We start from the raw sequence: 19166 nt of genomic DNA, 5'->3' as shown, positions 1-19166 counted from the left end.
GCCACTATTAAGGGTTCATTTGTTCAACGATTAAAGTCCTACGTGTTCTGAGTTAAGACCAGAGTAATCCAGGTCGGTTTCTATCCCAGAAATAAGAGGAGATTTGTACTGCCATAGATAAAGGATGTGTTACAAAGTCATAAAAGTTGAGATGGTGCAGAGCTGACACCAGTAAGGAGGGATAGATGAAGGAAACAGAAGAAAAACCCAGAAACAGAGCCAACAATATAGTGAGTGGTATGTGGTCCAAGTGCAAATTTAAATCATCAGGAAAAGGATAGAGTATCCAATAAGTGGTCCTGGGAAAAGTGTAAGCAATGTTGGAGAAAAAAATATTTGGAGTTTCTTCTCATAATACTCAACAAAATAAATCCTTAATGGGCTGAATAGTTATAATGCAAATAAACAAATAAATAAATATCAGTAAATGTTTTTGTGATTTTGAAATGGAGAAGGTCCTTCTAAGTATAACACAATAGAAGCCATAAAGAGTTCTTTCCAAATTAGGAAAGACAATATGACCACCCCAATATACAACTGAGTAAATTATACAAGCAGTCAGTTCACAAAAGAAGAAATGAAAATGATTAAAAAGCATAATTATTGATATGGTTTGGCTGTGTCCCCACTCAAATCTCATCTTGAATTCCCACGTGTTGTGAAAAGGACCCAGTGGGAGGTAATTGAGTCATGGGAGCAGGTCTTTCCCATGCTGTTCTCGTGATAGTGAGTAAGTCTCACAAGATCTGATAGTTTTAAAAAGAGGAGTTTCCCTGCACAAGTTTTTCTCCTGTCTGCCACCATGTGAGATGTGCCTTTCACCTTCCGCCATGATTATGAGGCCTCCCCACCCATGTGGAACTATAAGTCCAATAAAACTCTTTATTTTGGAAATTGCCCAGTCTCAGGTATGTCTTTATCAGCATGAAAACAGACTAATACAATTATAAAATTTTAAGTTACAATGAGTTAAGAATTATAATTAAAGTAGAGAACCATGTATGACCTATCATGTTGGCAAAAACTATGATACCTGATAGTGCCCAGTGCAGCTGTGCAAACAAAAGGGTAATCTCATAAACTGGTACAGATTGGCACGTGTTTTCTGGAAAATGACAGTATATATCAAACCTTTTAAAAACCCTTTAACTTAGTTCTGGTGACTTTAACCTTGGGAAATAAAAATGGGAGCAACAACACATATTTGAATATGTTAATTAAAGTATCGCTTAAATATTAGATCATTGTAAATAACTCAAATGTCCCGAATAGAAGAAATAGAAGACTAGCTAAATAACTATGGTACCTCCATGCAATAGAACATTATTGCAGCTATTAAAAATTTTGTTATAGAAATACTTATTGACATAAAAAGATGATTGTGACATAGTGTTGTTTTCAAAGTAATCTAACAGTATTCTTATGTGTGTACAAATATGAGTGTGTGTAGGAAGATATCAGGAAGATAGAGGAAGATATCAATCCATTTTCTCAGAATTTATTTCTAGGTGATATAATTAGAAAAACCTTTGAAGTTTTTTTCAATGCTTGTCTGTATTTTCAAATCGACGATGAGTATATAGTACTTGTAGTGAGAAACCTATCTATTAAAGAAGAAAGAGGTAAGAAAAGCTCAGGCACTCGGGCTCTTTGCCTGAAGGCTCTCATTCAAGCAGATGCTGGGCCAATTTCTGAGGAGGACGCTGTCAACAGGGCTTCTTGCTGGATGAGGGGGACAAATCTGGTGAGAATTCCAGTGTTTTTTGAAACCCAAGATGATATTTTTCTATGAAGTATTTCCTTGGTGCTGATTTTGTGATGAAAACAGAGGAGCACCACATGGGCTCTGCCTAGAAGGAACATTTAATCTAATCAAGCAGATGAAATAGTCGTATATAAAAAGTAACCTGGAGAACAACACAACGAAATTCTGACTTGTGCAATTTGAGCAGAGACTGCAGTAAGAATTTGCTTCCTTCCCTGTCTTGTTCATGGGTAGGTGTCAGTGTGGCCTTCCCTCTGAGGAGCTGCCCCATGGGAATTGACTCCACCAGAAGGCAGCAGCATTTGAGCATGGGGATCCTGTGACGCCAGTTCTTCCATGAATTTAAGTGCATGCGCTTGAGCATCCACCTTGATTGGTCACCCCATCACGATACAGGGCGACTCTGGGACATTCCTGCCCAGAGCCTATGTCTGGATGCAGTTGATGGAGGCTTGGTCCTGGCCTGTCTCTGCAGAAAGATGGGACATGTACTCGTGTCGCTATAACCCAGGGAAGACTGGGTGATGTGTCAGAGAGGTACAGAGGGCTTCATATCCCCTATCCTTTCAACCAAACACACAGACAGCTTCCTTCGGCCCTTGGCCCCATTTAACGACTGCTCTCTCCTCTCCCTTTCGTGGCCAAGTATATTAAGAATGGAATCTACACCTACTGCTTCCACTTCCTCACTTCCCACTCGACTCACCTGGTCCATCATCACCTTCTCTGACGATGCCACTAAAATTGAATCTGCCCTGGGTCTCTGATGTCCAAAGCAGAGAGCAAGTTCCTACCCTCATCCTCCCTCCCCTCAGAGGCAGGCTGTACCCGCCCCTGGAGTCTCTCTCCCTCCTGCCCCTCCCTCTCCCCTCCAGCCTCTCCCCTGGAATTGCCCCCAACCGCAAGATGTGGACCTCCTCTCTTCTCATGGCCATCTTGCATCCGCTTGTCTTCTTATGGTTTTTGGACACATGAGGACTCCCAAATCTAATACCAGCCCAAATCCAGATACAGACATCTAACTGCTGGCCCTCAAAGTCAACATATCCAAAAGGCAATCTACCAACTTTGCCCGACAAGCCTGTTCCTCTTCCCTGGGTCCCCACACTAGTGACAGTCACCTTCACTCCCCCATTCACCCAGGCCAGAAATTCAGGTAAATTCTGCCATCCACAGCCAAGTCCACCAGCTCTTCCCCCAAGCCACAGTGCTTCCTGAATCTCTCCCCTCATATCATCCATCCATCCTGCCACAGCCCTCACTCAGGCCAGCGCCACTTCCTGCCAGGCCCGCAGAGCACCCCAAAGGCTCACTGCCTCTGGACTTTTCCACCTCCATCCATGCTCCACTATTGCCAGAGCACAAGTATCTGACCATGTTCATTCTCTGTTTAAAACCACCTCATGGTTTTCCACCAACTTCAAAATAAATCACAACTCTCCAGTCTGTCATAAAAGGCCCTTTGTGATTTGCTTCTGTCTTCCTTTCCAGCCAAGTCTTGTGGCACTTCTTCACACAGCCATGTCCTTTTCAGTTCTAATGGCATCTTAGTACCTGCCTCATGCCAGGCTCCTCCCCCATGCCTTTGCACTTGCTCCCTCCCCTCCCTATAGTGCCCAACTCACCTGCCTACCTCCAACTTGTATATCAGGGCTTAGCCATGCAATTCCTCCTCCAGGAAGCTTCCCTGACCAGCTTGGTTGAATATCTCACCAATGCATTATGCACTAACGCACATGCACAAAACACTGGACCATGTATTTAGGCTTATTTTTAATTTTTACATTGTATCTATATTTGAAAAAGGCTCACTCGTGCCTCTCCTTAATGTCTCCACTCCCCTTGAAGAGGTAACCACTGTCAGCCACTTCCCATGGCACACTCTTTGGCACTACTCCCCTGCAGACTGTGAGCTCCGGAAGAAGAAAACAATGACTAGAACTCTCCTCAGTGTCCCCAGCCCCTAGCACCAGACCAGATATAGAACAGGTGCTGAATAAATCTTTGCTGAATTTATCGATTAACCAGTTGCAATTTTTGCCTGCCTGCAAGAGAACTTTCAAAGGTCTTTGGAATTTGGCTCTAACACCCAGATGTGAGTGAACCAATAAATACATGAGTATTGCTTTCTTTTACTATCAAGAAGCCACATGGACCTGAAATTTTTTTTCCAGGAAGTAAAAAGTCAAGCATCTAGCACCATGCTGTGAGAAGGAGAGAAAGCCTGAAGGACATTTGAGGAAGAGCAGGAGGAACGAGGCTGCTCAGCTTGTATCAAATGAGAGATGGCCTCAAAAGCCCTCAATGCAAAGGGGGCTCTGGGGAACAGCAGGTTCATGGTCACCTTGCATTTGCAGGACCATCCCAGGAGGTTTGCAGATTCAGGTTTGTTTGTGACATAGGATAAAGTGTGAAAGCTACGTGACCACAGGTTTTTTCACTGGGTTTAAGGAGGAACTGCATCAGTTGCAGCTACCAGCATCAAAAGTCTCAATGCCAGTAATTCTCAGCCCCAGCTGCACAGGAGTATCACCTGGAGAGCTTCTAGATCTCTGGTGCCCAAAGCTGCACTGCAGGCCAATTAAATCAGAAGCTCTAAAGTGGGATCTACACATTGGAATTTTTCAAGGCTCCCTAGGCAATTCCAATGTGCAACCAAGACCAAGAGCTATGTGCTTCCAACTTGAACATACACAGGAATTACTGGGTAGTCTTGTTAAAATGCATATTCTGATTTTGTCCCTCTGGGGTGGAGCCTGAGAGTCTGCATCTGTAATAGGCTTCCAAGGGTTGCTGATGTAGCTCAGCTTTAGAAGTAGTGAGCAGCCTGTCACAGGGGTATTCAAGAAGATTCTGGATGATTATGTGGTATGGATATTGCAAAGAATGGTAATGCACTGGATTGGGGTTGGGATTCTATCAATGCTCTTCGACCTTTCTGTAACAGCTGAAATTTTCTACCCACCCACCCCGAAACAATATCATCCACAGAAAGCCAATATGTAAACCCAGCAAAGCAGAACTATCTCATTAGAATAAAGATGGAGAACCCAGAGCTGTGCCCTCTTGGCTGCCTTCTTCCCCTACCTTAAGGCACCCAGAGTCTCCTCCAAGTACATTATGAAGACACCTAGTTATTATTTAATTAGCCTATCAACCTTGATTTCAAATGCTGAGGATTATTTCAGAAACTGAAACTGTTCTTGCTTTCAACAATGATCCCACTAGTGAGATATAAGGAAACCTAGATTAATGAGCACCAAGATATTGTGGCATTAAGGACAAGGGAATCTGCAGGATTTGAGGCTACATGGTCTGCATTCAGCAAGCTTATCCTGTAAAATGTGTCAAGCCTCATTCACTGCTTACAGGGATGAACAAAGGCATGAAGTTGTTGCTTGAGCCTTCCTTCTGAAAGTTCCGATAAGCTCATCAGCAGGATTTAATGATCAAAATCATGGTGCTGGGTTCTCTCAGGTCTATGACAACCCAGCACATATCTCACCAGGTGGGGGTCAGCCAGTCTCTTCTGTTGCTGTCTCTTGCTGTTGCTGTTATGTTCACTTATAGTGCATCCTTAACCCCAGATCTCTTCTCCCAAGGCAGATATTAATTCTGAGAGCTGATAAAATCCTAACTGGCAGAAATCTAGGAAATAGCAGAATGAAAGCCAAAGCAAGCATAGAGCCACACAAAATAAGATTGTGCTGGCTCATTGACCAGCTCTCTAAAATAATGATTTTAACAAATATATACATATAAATAGACATATCTCCAGTTAACTACAAGATATGATTTTAAAAAATACTTTTCTGAAAAAGACATCAAGATCAAAAAAAGTATTTAATTTTATGTTTTCTAATAATGGAATTTCATTGATTTGACCTACATTCACTTATAATTTTTGATAAGTTGGACACTGTTTGGATTGAGCATTTGTAATTTCTATGTAAATGGGGTTTATCTAAGCAATATTTAGAAGGATGTGTTTAACCTTTTATCTCATCCAAGGATCAAATCTGCCTTTTATTTTTCAGTGGGGATGTGGCACGGGGAGGGTGTAGTTGTCAAGTGCCTGGGGGAGCAAAAGACTGCGAATCTGGAAACCTAGAATGCCAGCTTAGCTGAATTTTTCTTACATAATTTATTACTAAATTTTATTGTGATAAAATATGTATAACAAAATTTGCCATTTTATAGTGTACAATTCAGTGACACCAAGTAAATTCACAATGTTGTGCAACCATCACCACCTTCCATTTCCAGAGATACTTCATTTCGACCTTTCTGTAACAGCTGAAATTTTCTACCCACCCACCCTTAAACAAAGTTATCCACATCTTTATCTCAAACAGATTCTGTACCCATTAGACAATAACTCCCATCTCCTCCCTCCAACTCCTGGTAAACCTCTCATCTACTTTCTGTCTCCACGAATTTGCCTATTCTATATAGATCATATAAATGCAATCCTGCAATGCTTTTCCTTTTGTGTCTGACTTATTCAGTTAGCAGAATGTTTGCAGGCTTCATCCATGTTGTCGCACATGTCATAACATCCTTCTTTTTTAAGGTTGAATGTTTCACTCGCGTCCATGTGAAGAGACCACCCAACAGGTTTTGTGTGAGCAACAAGGCTGTTTATTCCACCTGGGTGCAGGCGGGCTGAGTCCAAAAAGAGAGTCAGTGAAGGGAGATAGGGGTGGGGTCATTTTATAGGATTTGGGTAGGTAGTGGAAAATTACAGTCAAAGGGGGTTGTTCCCTGGTGGGCAGGGGCGGGGGACACAAGGTGCTCAGTAGGGGAGCTTTTGAGCCAGGATGAGCCAGGATGAGCCAGGAGAAGGAATTTCACAAGGTAATGTCATCAGTTAAGGCAGGAACAGACCATTTTCACTTCTTTTGTGATTCTTCAGTTACTTCAGACCATCTGGATGTATACGTGCAGGTCACAGGGGATATGATGGCTTAGCTTGGGCTCAGAGGCCTGACAGAATGATATTCCATTGCAAGTATAAGCCACATTTTGTTTGTCCATTCATCTATTGGTGGGCATTTGGGTTGTTTCCACCTTTTAGCTGTCGTGAATGATGTTGTGTGCAGATTCAAATAATGTCTGTTTGAGTCCTGGCTTTCAATTTTTGGTGTCTATACCTAAAAATAGAATTGCTGGATCCTATTTCTATGTTGTATTTAATTATCTCTATAGGAACATGGAAAAACCAATGCTCCTGACTGTAACACATTTTAGCTGAAATTAAGCCCATTTTTTTTGTTGTTTTCAAATAAATAACAATAACTTTTGCTTCTTTAAAAAGGGAGGGATTTTTTAAAGGCTGATAAATTATGTTTACGTATTTATCTTTGCATGTTCATAATGATCTGATCTGTGATTTCACAAAGGGAAAGAGCAGATTGTATTTTGTATTCAGGTATGGTGTGGCCAACAGATCAGGACATGGTTACCACTGAAAGACACTTTATTACTCACAGTTCCCAAGCTGAAGGGCCATGGCCCCACACCAAGCCAAGCCACACAGGAAAGCCTTTATTGGGGTTTTCTCAGGAAGGAGCAGGCAAGGCCGGGTAAACAGGTTTAAGATTGGCTGGTTTGAATAACTTCGGCAGGCTCCGGGGTGTAGGAGCTGCCCCTAGTTGTCTGATGCCTGCCGTTGGGTGATTAGGGCGGGAAAATAGTGTCCTACCCTGTAAGAGCCCAAGAAAGCAAGCAAGTGGAAGTATGGGCTTTGTTTCGGTTAGTTTGCATATGAAAGGCATCCAAGTGGAAAGTTGTTTGTTTTCCAAAGGAATTAGCTCTGCCTGAAACAGTCCCTCCCTGAGCTGCAGGGACCCAGATGCCAAAGTATCAGATACAGAACCAGAAAACACAGTTAATACACACTTGAATAAAGTCATTAAATCACGGACAACAATGGAGTCCCAATAGACTTGCATACCTAAGGTCTGAAACAGTTCTCAGTGCTAGATGTCTATTACAGTAACTTGGGGGAAGTTTCTAAAATGTAATTTCCTGCTCCCAACCTCAAGTCAATTGAATGAATACCTTTGGGCACTGATCATTTTAAAAGTTTCCCTGGTGATTCTCTTTTACATTTGCGGTTGAGAACCGTTGGCCTAAGACAATGTTTCTCAAAGTCTGAACCACAAACAGCAACATCGGCATCTCTTGAGAACTTGTTAGAAATGCAAATTCTCAGGCCCACCCCAGCCCTGCTGAGTCTGAAACTCTGGGTGGGACCCAGCCCTGTGGGGTTGTCGAAGCCCTCCAGGTGATACTGAAGCCCACTCGAGTTTGAGGGCCACTGGTCCAGGGTAAGGAGTATCGGCGAGTTGACCATAGTGTCCCTCCCATCACACTCAGACCCAATCTTGCTCAGTGCCCTGTAGCAATGTCTCGGCAAAGCTCAGCTAACATGTTTTGGTCACAAACTATTAGTCTGCATGAGGCAGGGCTGTTCTTTCAGGTAGGAGAAGTCAGTGCAATTTGGAGGTTTTCAAGTTCTCCCTGCCCCTGTAGTCTCCAAACATTTTGCTTACAAGCAATGCCATTACAGCAACCAGGAGGGACTGAGATCAGCTAGGAAACACAATATGCTGTCCCTGCCATAGTGGTTGGAGAGCCCTGAGGCTCCCAAAGGAGGCGACAATTCAGAGGGCTTTGAAAGCCAGGTGAGACTGGAGCAGCCTGTCTGCACAGAACACATGCACTCACACCCTGCTTGGTGCAATCTGTGATTTGTCACTTAAGCAGTCTTTGAGTATCTTCAAATGCAAATTTGATATGCAGAGGGACTGAATAAGTAGCAAAAACTGTGGGGCTTTACAAAGAAGTGATTAAAAGCAAACAGTATCTACAAAGGAGAAATTGAGTGAATAAGTGGGTTTTCCTCATTGGAAGAAAATCATTGCATAAAATAATCATGAATGGTAAACAGAGGGGAAGAAAAAAATCATTGGGTGGCTTTTCTCCATTGACAAAAGGCTGGTTTTCTGACATCACAGACCTGGATTCTAATCTCAGCTCCTCCCTTTACCAGCTGTGAATTTGGGAAAATTAATTAAATTCTAAATGTGGTTTCCTCGTCTACAAAATGGGATTCATAGTACCTACCCAATCATTTGCTTAAGGATTAAATAAGATAATGCTAGTAAAATGCTTGGCTTTGTGCTTTTCATCAACACTCAAATTTAACTACCATTTCTGCTATTAATACTATCATTAGCATTATTATTAGCACAGTGACCTAGAGTAAGTGCCCCCAAACATTAGCTGTTCTTCCTAGTATTATTATTATTATTATTAGGAATTCTGAGTATCTCCATTATACTCACATCTAAGAAAAGGGCTGTAACTAACCAGACAAACCAAGGACCCCCAAACCCCCAAGAAAAATATATTTTCCCAAAATTCAAAAACCTTATTTAAGTCTGAAAAGGAGCCTTCCCTTTAACAGAAAAGGATAAATTGTGCTGCTGTAACAAACCTCAATATCTCAGTGGCTTAACACCACAAAGGTTTATTTCTTGCTCATGTCCCAGTCAAACGTGAGTCAGTTGGCACCTGTCCTCCAATGGGTAATTCAGGGACCCAGGCAGCTTCTATCTGAAGATATATTCTTAAAGCCCAGTCTTAGAAATGGCTTATGCTATGTGGCTTTCACCCACCCACTAATTCTAGTTCTAGGATTACTCTTATCTCTCTCATTCAGGCTAATTATTCTGATACCGATAAATTCACTTATCACATAGCATAAACTGGGCCTTATCAACCATCATGGTAGTTCTCAACTGAACGTACTAGTTGGTCTACAACCCTGCACTAAGTTGAGCATAAGTGTAGTCTGGCGGGTATGAATTGAGTGGTATAATTACTTCCTTCATTCAGAGACTATACTTCTATTAATGTAGCCTGAGTTTGCATTCTTGTTTTGGGGGGTGGTGTGGGGCAAGTGATATTGAACTGATCATCAACTGAAATCGCTATGGGTATACAACAGATTCAGTGCCCTGTCATCAATGTTTTCTTTTTTTTTAATCTGAACAGGAGTATTCATTATGGAAAAAGTCCACAAGAAAAACATAAATTGTTTTCTGTAGTGTATTCATTAGTATTACCTATCCACCCTATGCAGGTGACAAGTCTCCCTGGAGTGGGCTTTACAGCCCAAGCTTATTAATGGCATATGCTGAGAAAGGTAGCTGCCAAACCTTGACTGCAATAACAATAACAAAAATTAAAAACCTAAAATAATAAGTATATCATACTGACCTTTCCTGTTTACCTTGCTGTAGGTACCACATCTGTGTGACTGTGCTGATCTACTTCCTCCCCCTGCTGGTGATTGGCTATGCATACACCGTAGTGGGAATCACACTATGGGCCAGTGAGATCCCCGGGGACTCCTCTGACCGCTACCACGAGCAAGTCTCTGCCAAGCGCAAGGTGAGCAGGGGACAGGCAGAACTAACCCACCCTGGCACAGACAACAGGCTGTCGAGAAGGGATGGCACACTTGTGAGCCCCAGAGGCAGCTAGCACAAAATATCCCCAGGTATGGGGAGCAACAGAGAGGAGGAGAGGAATCTTTCTTCAGTGTCTTTGGAACCCAGATCTGGCTGGACAGGCATGAGCCACTTCGCTTGCTCTTAAAGAGTAATTGCAACCTCTTGATCCATTAAAACACACACACACACACGCACACTTAAATAAAAGATCAGTGAAGAGTGATTTGGTCCTCTTCTTAAAGTTTGACAAGATAATACATTCACGTGGTTCAAACATCAAAAGGCATTCAAAGGAACAAAATTATAGTGATGAAGAACGGATCAGGGGTTTCCAGGAGTCAGTGTTTGAGGGGGCTTGGGAGGAGTGGCCTACAAAGCGAGAGCGTGAGTGAGTTTCTTTGCAGTGATGGAGCAGCTCTGTATCCTGACTGTGGTGGTGTTTTCATCTATACCTGTGATGAAATTTCATAAATCTATACACCAAAAAAAACAGTGCATGTAAAAACTGGCAAAAACCCAAATATAGTCAGTAGTTTGATGAATGGTCAGTGTCCTGGTTTTGATAATGTGGTATGGTTATGTAAGATGATATCATTGGAGGAGGCTAGGTGAAGACTACCTGGAACTGCTTTGCACCACCTTTGCAACTTCTCGAGGGCCTTCAATTAGTTCAAAACGAAACATTTAAAAAAATTTAATTCTTATCATGGAAAGCCTCTCTCCCTTCTAGATCTGTCATCTACCCAGGTCCCAAGCTTGCACACACACACGCACACACACACACAGATATGCATACAATGGTAACCATTGTTATCTGTTTCTTAACCCTTCTAGCTATTGGCACTTATAAATAAGTAAATATATATTATTTTCTCTTCTTTTTTACACAAATAGTAAATACACACTGTTCTCACTTATTTCACTTAAAATTGACAAGATTTTTGAAAATCAGTATATAAAGAGCTTTCTCATTCCTTTTTTTTTTCTTTGGTACTTCTTTGCTTAGTATTCTCTGTTGGTACTTCTCTGCATAGCATTGTATGAATGCTGTAGAGTTCTTTGCTAAAGATGCCTTGGGAAGGGGTTACATCGCATGGTGTCTTAGTCCATTTGGGCTGATGTAACAAAATGCCTTTGACTGGGAGCTTATAAAAAATAGAAATTGATTTCTCACAGCTCTAGTGGCTGAAAGGCCCAAGATCAAAGCACAGACGGATTTGGTGTTTCAGGAGGGCCTGCTTCCTGGTTCATGGATGGCACTTTCTAAGTCCTCAGATGGTGGAAGGGGCAAGGGGTCTTTCTCAGGCCTATTTTATAAGGGCACTAATTTAATTGATGAGGGCTGTGACCTGAAGACCTAATTAGTTCCCAAAGGCCACCTCCTAATACCATCACCTTAGGGGTTAGGATTTCAACATATAAATTTGAAGTGACACAAACATTCAGATCATAGTATCCAGTATTCACAAAACCTTTTAAATCGCTTTTAAACATCTGGCACTCTCTGACTGCAGCTAGTCAAATCTTTTCCCTTCTCCTTCCCTCCCCTTCAGTCTCAAAACCAAGCAGCTTGCCCTAGCTCACTGCATCTCCCCTTGTCCCACCCCTTCTGCTGTGCCCGCCCACCCAGCCTGCTGTTCCAGGCCTTTTCCTCCTGAACACCCTTTCACCTTTGCTCATTAATTTGTCTCCCTGTGTTCCTCCAGTCATGAAGAATAATGTAACACAGTAGTCCCCAAATGTGAGTATGCATCAGAATCATCTGAAGGGTTTGTCACACTCAGAATTTGGGGTCCTATCCCCAGAGTTTCTGATTTAGTAAGTCTGAAATAGGGTCCAAGAATTTGCATTTCTAACAAGCTCTGAGGGGATGGTGATGATGCTGGTTTTGGGACCACACTCTGAGAACAGCTGACATAACCGAAGTCTTGTAGCACCATATAGTAAAGATCCTTTCTCCTCCTTGAAGGGGCGTCTTTTAAATACTTCTCGCTTCATCCCATACTGTGCACAGTGAGGGCGTGGGAGGAGAGAGGAAGCAGCCGTGAGAGAGGGGGATGTGCTGGTGGTCTCACCTGTCTCACCCTCTTGCCAGGTGGTCAAAATGATGATTGTCGTGGTGTGCACCTTCGCCATCTGCTGGCTGCCCTTCCACATCTTCTTCCTCCTGCCCTACATCAACCCAGATCTCTACCTGAAGAAGTTTATCCAGCAGGTCTACCTGGCCATCATGTGGCTGGCCATGAGCTCCACCATGTACAACCCCATCATCTACTGCTGCCTCAATGACAGGTGAGGATCCCAACCCCATGAGCTCTCCAGGGGCCACAAGACCATCTACATACACAGTGGCCAAGCGGCCATCCTAAATGAGTAAACCCAGCTGTGAGACAAGAGGGACAAGTGGGGACTGCAGCTAACTTATCATCACACAACTCAGCCTGGCTGATTATCACCATCCAGGAATGGGAGCCCGGAGTGGACTGATTTTCTTTTTTTCTTTTCCAAAGGGAACCAGAAATCCATATTATTGTCCAAAGTCTTCTGATTCATAAATACTGGCAGCTAGTGGGGGAATTAAAAACTTCTGTGGTTAATGCATGTAAGGCAGGTCTGCAAGCTGGATCCAGGCTCCAGGCCATGGCCTGTGAGTTTATTCACTCTGCTCTATGGATCCAGTACACAGCGGGCTATGCATGCAGAAAGAGAATTTCATCCCCCCACAGAGCACATTCGCCCTCTCTGATCTCTCACTGTCTTTTTCCCATTCCATCTTACGATCTGAGCAGCTTTACCCATTTTCTTCCAGCAGTTCCAGCAGGACAAGGTAAGGCAAAAAGGAATTGTGACCCCAGAGGCCTGATTCCTGCCCTCACTTAGTCAAAGGGGTTGGGGAGAGCCATCCTGCAGATGGCAGAAGCCAATGTCAGAGAAGTAAGAGAAGGCAGAGCCCATCCAGAATGGTGGTCAGCATTAGGGAATTCACCATGGGGTGCAGAGGGCTCCCAAAAGCAGGCAGGGACACATAGTGGCTGCAGCACAGTCTGTCATCCAGAGCACCACCAGCCTCTGGATGGGGAAGGAGGCGGGAGAGGAATAAAATGCTTGTTACCATCTTTATATCCATCAGTCCTCAGCCTGTAAGGTGCCTTCTGTGAATTAGACACTCAGGTACTAGAAATTTGGGGAAAGACATTCTCTTCAACTTGTCCAAAGGGTCTCTGTTAGTCTAACTGACACATTCACCCTTATTTCTAAGAGTTTCATGACCCACCTACACTTTTTTTAGGTTAAGTCTAGCAGCACGCCTTTAAGTAAAGGTTAATTCTTCCTATTTAACAACCAGAGAAACTGAGGCACACTGAAGAAACATGATTGGCAGAGAGTCCTCCTTCAGTTAACAGGCTACTCGAGGGGAAGGACTGAATCTTGATATGTGTTTTTACCACCCAGTAACTAGCACAGTGCTGTGCACATAGTAAACACTTGGTGAATGCGTTTTGTTGAGGTAGAATTGACTCAAAGTCTGCTGACCCCATGTGAGGGGAGACAGCATAGTTCAGGGCCACCCCCAGTAAAGACGTATTTCACATAAAGATTGTTCCAGTGTTGGATTTTTTTTTTCTAGTCTTGGATTTGACCTTGTTGACTGACCCTTAAGCCTTTTTGGCCTCAGCATCTCCAGCTGTCATTGAATTTTAAAAACAATAACAGAATCACGCTTGGGTATGTCCATGTGTTAACAAGCTGATGCAGTGGTGGGCAGCCCTCTGAGCAGGCCGTCCCAAAGGGTCACCTCTTCATCTGCTCGCTCTCCAGGTTCCGTCTGGGCTTCAAGCATGCCTTCCGGTGCTGCCCCTTCATCAGCGCCGGCGACTATGAGGGGCTGGAAATGAAATCCACCCGGTATCTCCAGACCCAGGGCAGTGTGTACAAAGTCAGCCGCCTGGAGACCACCATCTCCACAGTGGTGGGGGCCCACGAGGAGGAGCCAGAGGACGGCCCCAAGGCCACACCCTCGTCCCTGGACCTGACCTCCAACTGCTCTTCACGAAGTGACTCCAAGACCATGACAGAGAGCTTCAGCTTCTCCTCCAATGTGCTCTCCTAGGCCACAGGGCCTTTGGCAGGTGCAGCCCCCACTGCCTTTGACCTGCCTCCCTTCATGCATGGAAATTCCCTTCATCTGGAACCATCAGAAACACCCTCACACTGGGACTTGCAAAAAGGGTCAGTATGGGTTAGGGAAAACATTCCATCCTTGAGTCAAAAAATCTCAATTCTTCCCTATCTTTGCCACCCTCATGCTGTGTGACTCAAACCAAATCACTGAACTTTGCTGAGCCTGTAAAATAAAAGGTCGGACCAGCTTTTCCCAAAAGCCCATTCATTCCATTCTGGAAGTGACTTTGGCTGCATGCGAGTGCTCATTTCAGGATGAATTCTGCAGCACAGCTGCGGACCCGGAAGACTCATTTTCCTGGAGCCCCGTGTTACTTCAATAAAGTTATCTCAGATTAGCCTCCTGCAGCTGGAGGCTCCTATCACCCCAGCCTACGCTTGACAGGGTGAACAAAAGAAGGCACCACATAACATCTAAATGAAAAATTTAGCCCTGTCTTCTAAGCATCTGTGAAAAGAAACATATGTATTCCCCTTTTTGGCATCTCAGTATTTCAGTACATTTATACATCATGAGATTGAGAACCTCGGGCTTCCACATTATGTCCCCGGTGACTGTCCTGAGCAGCCGACGCAAGCAGAATATGTCCACTGATACCTGCTAGTTCTCTTACAGACCAGGAATTGGGAGACTTGCACTACATTTAATGTGTAGTTGACCCTCTTTTCCTACTTGTAAACAAGGGGACTGAACTAGATAATCTAAGTGTTCCTTCGAATCTTAACATCCCGTGGTTCAAGGATTGTATGAGTTTTTTGTTTGTTTTACAAAAAAAAACAAAACGAAGAATAAAAGAATAGAAAAGAATAGGAGCAGTGAGTCTTGTAACTAATACCCAGTTCCTGGAGATGTAGCAACTGCTAAGGCCATCTGTAACTATCCATCTCAGACATTCTCCGATTTATCTTAAAATCCTGAGTACATTCCTTCTCATGGAAGGTTTTGGCTTTTGACAGAGCAGAGGACTTCATGCCAAGGCCTGCATCCATCCAGCTTTAGCAGGCAGAATTTCATAGCTGCAGAACACTGTCAGAGAAGACAAATGTGGGCTCCCTGCTTTAACCTTTTGGGTATTTTAGGGTGGGGGCCCTAACCTTCATTCTTAGTTTTACACTAGCATCGTGCTCATATGTGCGACAAGCAAGAAGGCTGCACTTTGCAGCTGCACTTCTGGGAAGAGGGCATCTTGCATCTTCCCTTCAGACTCTCTGAATGTCTCCTCCCTGCTCCATGGCTTTGCCAGCTTCCTGTCTCTAAGGGGTAGAATGACTCATCAACCCTAAAGGACAGTCAGTCTTCCAAGAGCCATGAACTGAATGCTTTATATCCTAATTTAGATTTAGAGTTTCCAGAAGGTGAGCATGCAGTTTTGTTTTGTTTTTTTTTCTGTCTCCCAAATCTGTGTTTTTTCCAGATATGGCTGGAAGCAGAAGCTTCATGTAACATCCATGAATGTCCTCCTGGTAGTTTGCATAATGGATGCACATGTGCCGCATCCATAACATTAAGGGGAGAATAATGCATGGTTTACAGCCTTTGCCAGCCCTGCTGGCTCTAATTCTACCAGGGCATCCACAGGCCTGGGGGAAGAAGAAACAGTATAAGCCAGAAAACCTCAAGAACTACATTCTCTAAAGCAGCATGGAAAGTTTTAAATAAACTAAGTGAAGCCAGATCATTGCAGATATATAAATGGAAGACAAAATTTAGAAGCAACAAAAGTTAGTGCCCTAAGCATTAGTCATACTTCCAATAGAGAATCTTGCTGTGTATGGATTACTCACTTTGGAAGAATGTAAAGAGCTAACATGATTATGAGAAGTACCTGAGAAGATGGTGTCAAGAAGTTGGGGACACCCCATCTATGGAAGAGAAGGTTAGAGTTGAGCTCAACGAGGATTAACTGAGTGCCTCCTCTGGACTTTGCCCTGAACTGGGAACACACAGCCCCTGCAGCTCTTGAAGAGCCTACCTTATTGGCCATCACTAACTAACTCACCAGTCCTAGTGAGTCTAAGCTGCCCAGCAGTCTTGGAGGCATCTGAGAGGACAGATTCTCCACAGAATTCTAAAAACCCACACTCAACATGGGCAGTCAAGCCAAAGACTGGGACCTTTGGAGAGCCTCTGGAATGAGAGTTCTCTGGGGTACTTCCAAAGGGAGCTGGCAGTCAGTCCAGGGGACCTAAAGGAATTTGGTTGAACAGTATCATCTCTGTGCATAGTAAGAGGGAATGTTGGGTGGTCCGGGCAGTTTCCAATATGGCAAAGCATCTGCTTGGACAGTGCCAGCAAGCCTTCCTCTGACCCAGTCTCCAATGTCCACTAACTTATAAAAATGTCATCAACTCCCACATGTAAGAAACACCATGATTTGTACTGTGCATGGGTCACATTCTTATTCTAGAAATGCATCACCCTGTGTTTATCCAAGTGTGTTTACTTGGTGTAATGTCCAGTAGTAATAGAATATGAAATATCAAGGAACCATCTTTGTTACGTGACTTCCAAAATGTGAGATCTCATTGCTGTCACTGTGATATTTGTATTGTGTGAATCTCTTCCTCCTCTTCCTCCTCATGCTTTCTCAGGGAGGAGCCCTGATGTATATCATGAACTCACAGTTCCTAGACCACAGTAATTGAGGGGCGGTGGGGGGGCCTTTATCGGAGAAGCTAGAGAACAAGAGTCCTTCTCCTCCTTATCCCCCAACAGGACACTAAGAGACAAGGACTGAGTGGAATCCTGGAGAAAGGGGACTCAGGAACTGACCTCATTGGCCTGATTTGTGAGGAGAGGAGTATAAGTGGAGAGGGGCCATTCCTGAGGTTTCCGTGTTTTCCAGCCTGGTCTCCTGGAAAGAATCTTTATACAGAAATAAAGTATGTGTTTCACTCTCTCGTGCCTCTGTCTCTTCTCTAGGGGTCCTAAACATCCTATAGGATGCTAAATGGGATGGTACTAGAAACCCTAATAACTTGCATAGCTAGAAGGATGGAATCAATGTTCAGTAAACTCTTAACTCTGTGATGAAATGGGTTGGGAAGATGTGGGAACAGTTCCCAGGTTGAGATCTGGGAAGGGAGGTGGGATTATGCGAAATGACAGTGATGTTGCCTATGAATAAAGCTGTGTCAGGATGCAGACACAACAGAGTTATAAGCACAAGAGTTTTCGTAGGACAGGAGGTTGGGGGGAATAACATCTGAGAAAGACAAAGGGGAAAGAAAGCAGAAGTACTCAGGGACAGCCTTCAAACCACCATGCCAATCTGACACCTGGGAAAAAAGGGGTGGTTAGGAAGAGCCTCAGACTGTGGTGCAGCTCCCAGCCCAACACGTGCAAAGATTGCCCAGAGAGACATTGCACGTTAACAGAATGGCCAGGCCTGATGCCCTGCCGTGCTCAGCCGCTGGCTGGGGCTCTCTAGGGAAAGTGTTCTGTGTTTGAACACCATGGTGGATGCTGAAGCCCTGCAGCTGGAGGCTGTCAGCCAAGTGCCCTGCCATTCTTCCTCAAAGAGGGATCTGAGCCATGTACCTCCACAACTACCACCCAAGCTTTGATCCAGCCCCCTGTGTTTGAAAACACAAGACAGGAAACCTGTGGCAGGCTTTGAAACATCAGTGATAATCCCTGTGAGCCCTGGCAGTCTGCCTCCTACACCTTGGGTTGCCTATCCTCTGTGCCACCTCACCCCTAGCAGCTCCATCAAAAGAACAATAAGCAGCTGGTAACAGAATTGTAGTGGCAACAACTGCAAAGGCACTGAAAGAGGGAATTTTGAGAAGATAGACTATCCAACACAGTTAGTATCAGAAACAAGTAATAAAGATGTTTTATTTAAATTGAGGCATCTTCAATAGGGGTATGTGGATAAGCTTTAAGGAATCCACAAGTCCCCTCCAAGATCCCCACAAATCATATGTCAAACATTGTGTGTGTTTAATAAGAGGTGCAATTAAAGCTGAATCTTCTCAAAAGAAATCATTCACCCTCTGCTCCCCAGGAGGAGGAGACAATTTAAATTGTTTATAAAAGAGTGGCAAGGAACTGGAGACTTTCAGAGCGGTGAGAGGCAGATGAGCCCCGAGAGAACCAGAATGGTTGCTGGGAAGCTAGAAACAGCTTTGGAATAAAATCATAGCTCACCTCAGATACTCAGATGAGTTAAAGCTGTAGAATGTCATTTAAAATATTTGTGGCAGTAAAAACGCCAAATTCATGATGAAGGGGTATGCTCACTCTTCACTTGTTAGCTGAGGGAAGACTACGAATTGAAGAAATTATAAATCAAGAAATAACACAGGATGCGGAGTGCAGACATTCCCGTGCAGAGGCAAAGTCGTTTTCACTTATTCCTAGGCATGTGTGGCCTGCCTGCACAATGAAAGTGCTCAGCGCTGGGCACCACAACTGGCTTTAGTAATACTCTCTAATGGAGCTCCTGAGCTCAGAATCCAAGAGCAGTATTTCAGTCATGGCTCCCAGCACAGTGGGTATGGTGGGGACACACCAAGTATGTTCTTCTCCTTCATCTTCAAAGGTGAAAGGAGCATCTGATTGTAGAAATTGCTTCTCTGAACCCCACAGGCAATGCTCTGAGACACTGTTATTTATTTCTACCCAGTTCAGGAAAACAGAGGAAGAGGACGGAGGCCATGGAGCCTCATATCTCACAAGCACCAAATTC

At 43.8% G+C, this 19166-nt stretch overlaps 1 protein-coding gene across 2 annotated transcripts in view, besides 1 other annotated feature; it reads left to right on the top strand.

Moving 5' to 3' along the window:
- The window catches only part of TACR1 (tachykinin receptor 1), a 153058-nt gene extending 135688 nt beyond the window's left edge, over positions 1-17370 (top strand). Inside the window, exons 3-5 of one of the 2 annotated variants that reach the window (NM_001058.4) lie at positions 10078-10228; positions 12386-12582; positions 14110-17370. In NM_001058.4, coding sequence (NP_001049.1) covers positions 10078-10228; positions 12386-12582; positions 14110-14401 — 640 coding nt within the window. In that variant the 3' untranslated portion in view covers positions 14402-17370. Of the gene's footprint in view, positions 1-10077; positions 10229-12385; positions 12798-14109 lie in introns of those variants that run through there. The other variant, NM_015727.3, reaches the window with a different exon arrangement.
- Positions 10046-10125: a silencer, noted in NCBI's record as "silent region_11678". NCBI's record gives its function as "represses an Ori minimal core promoter by ATAC-STARR-seq in GM12878 lymphoblastoid cells {active_cell/tissue: GM12878}" and the evidence as "EXISTENCE:reporter gene assay evidence [ECO:0000049][PMID:35858748]".

Source organism: Homo sapiens, chromosome 2, assembly GCF_000001405.40.
Source record: "Homo sapiens chromosome 2, GRCh38.p14 Primary Assembly".
Taxonomy (NCBI): domain Eukaryota; kingdom Metazoa; phylum Chordata; class Mammalia; order Primates; family Hominidae; genus Homo; species Homo sapiens.
This window is presented reverse-complemented; position numbering and strand designations above follow the sequence as displayed.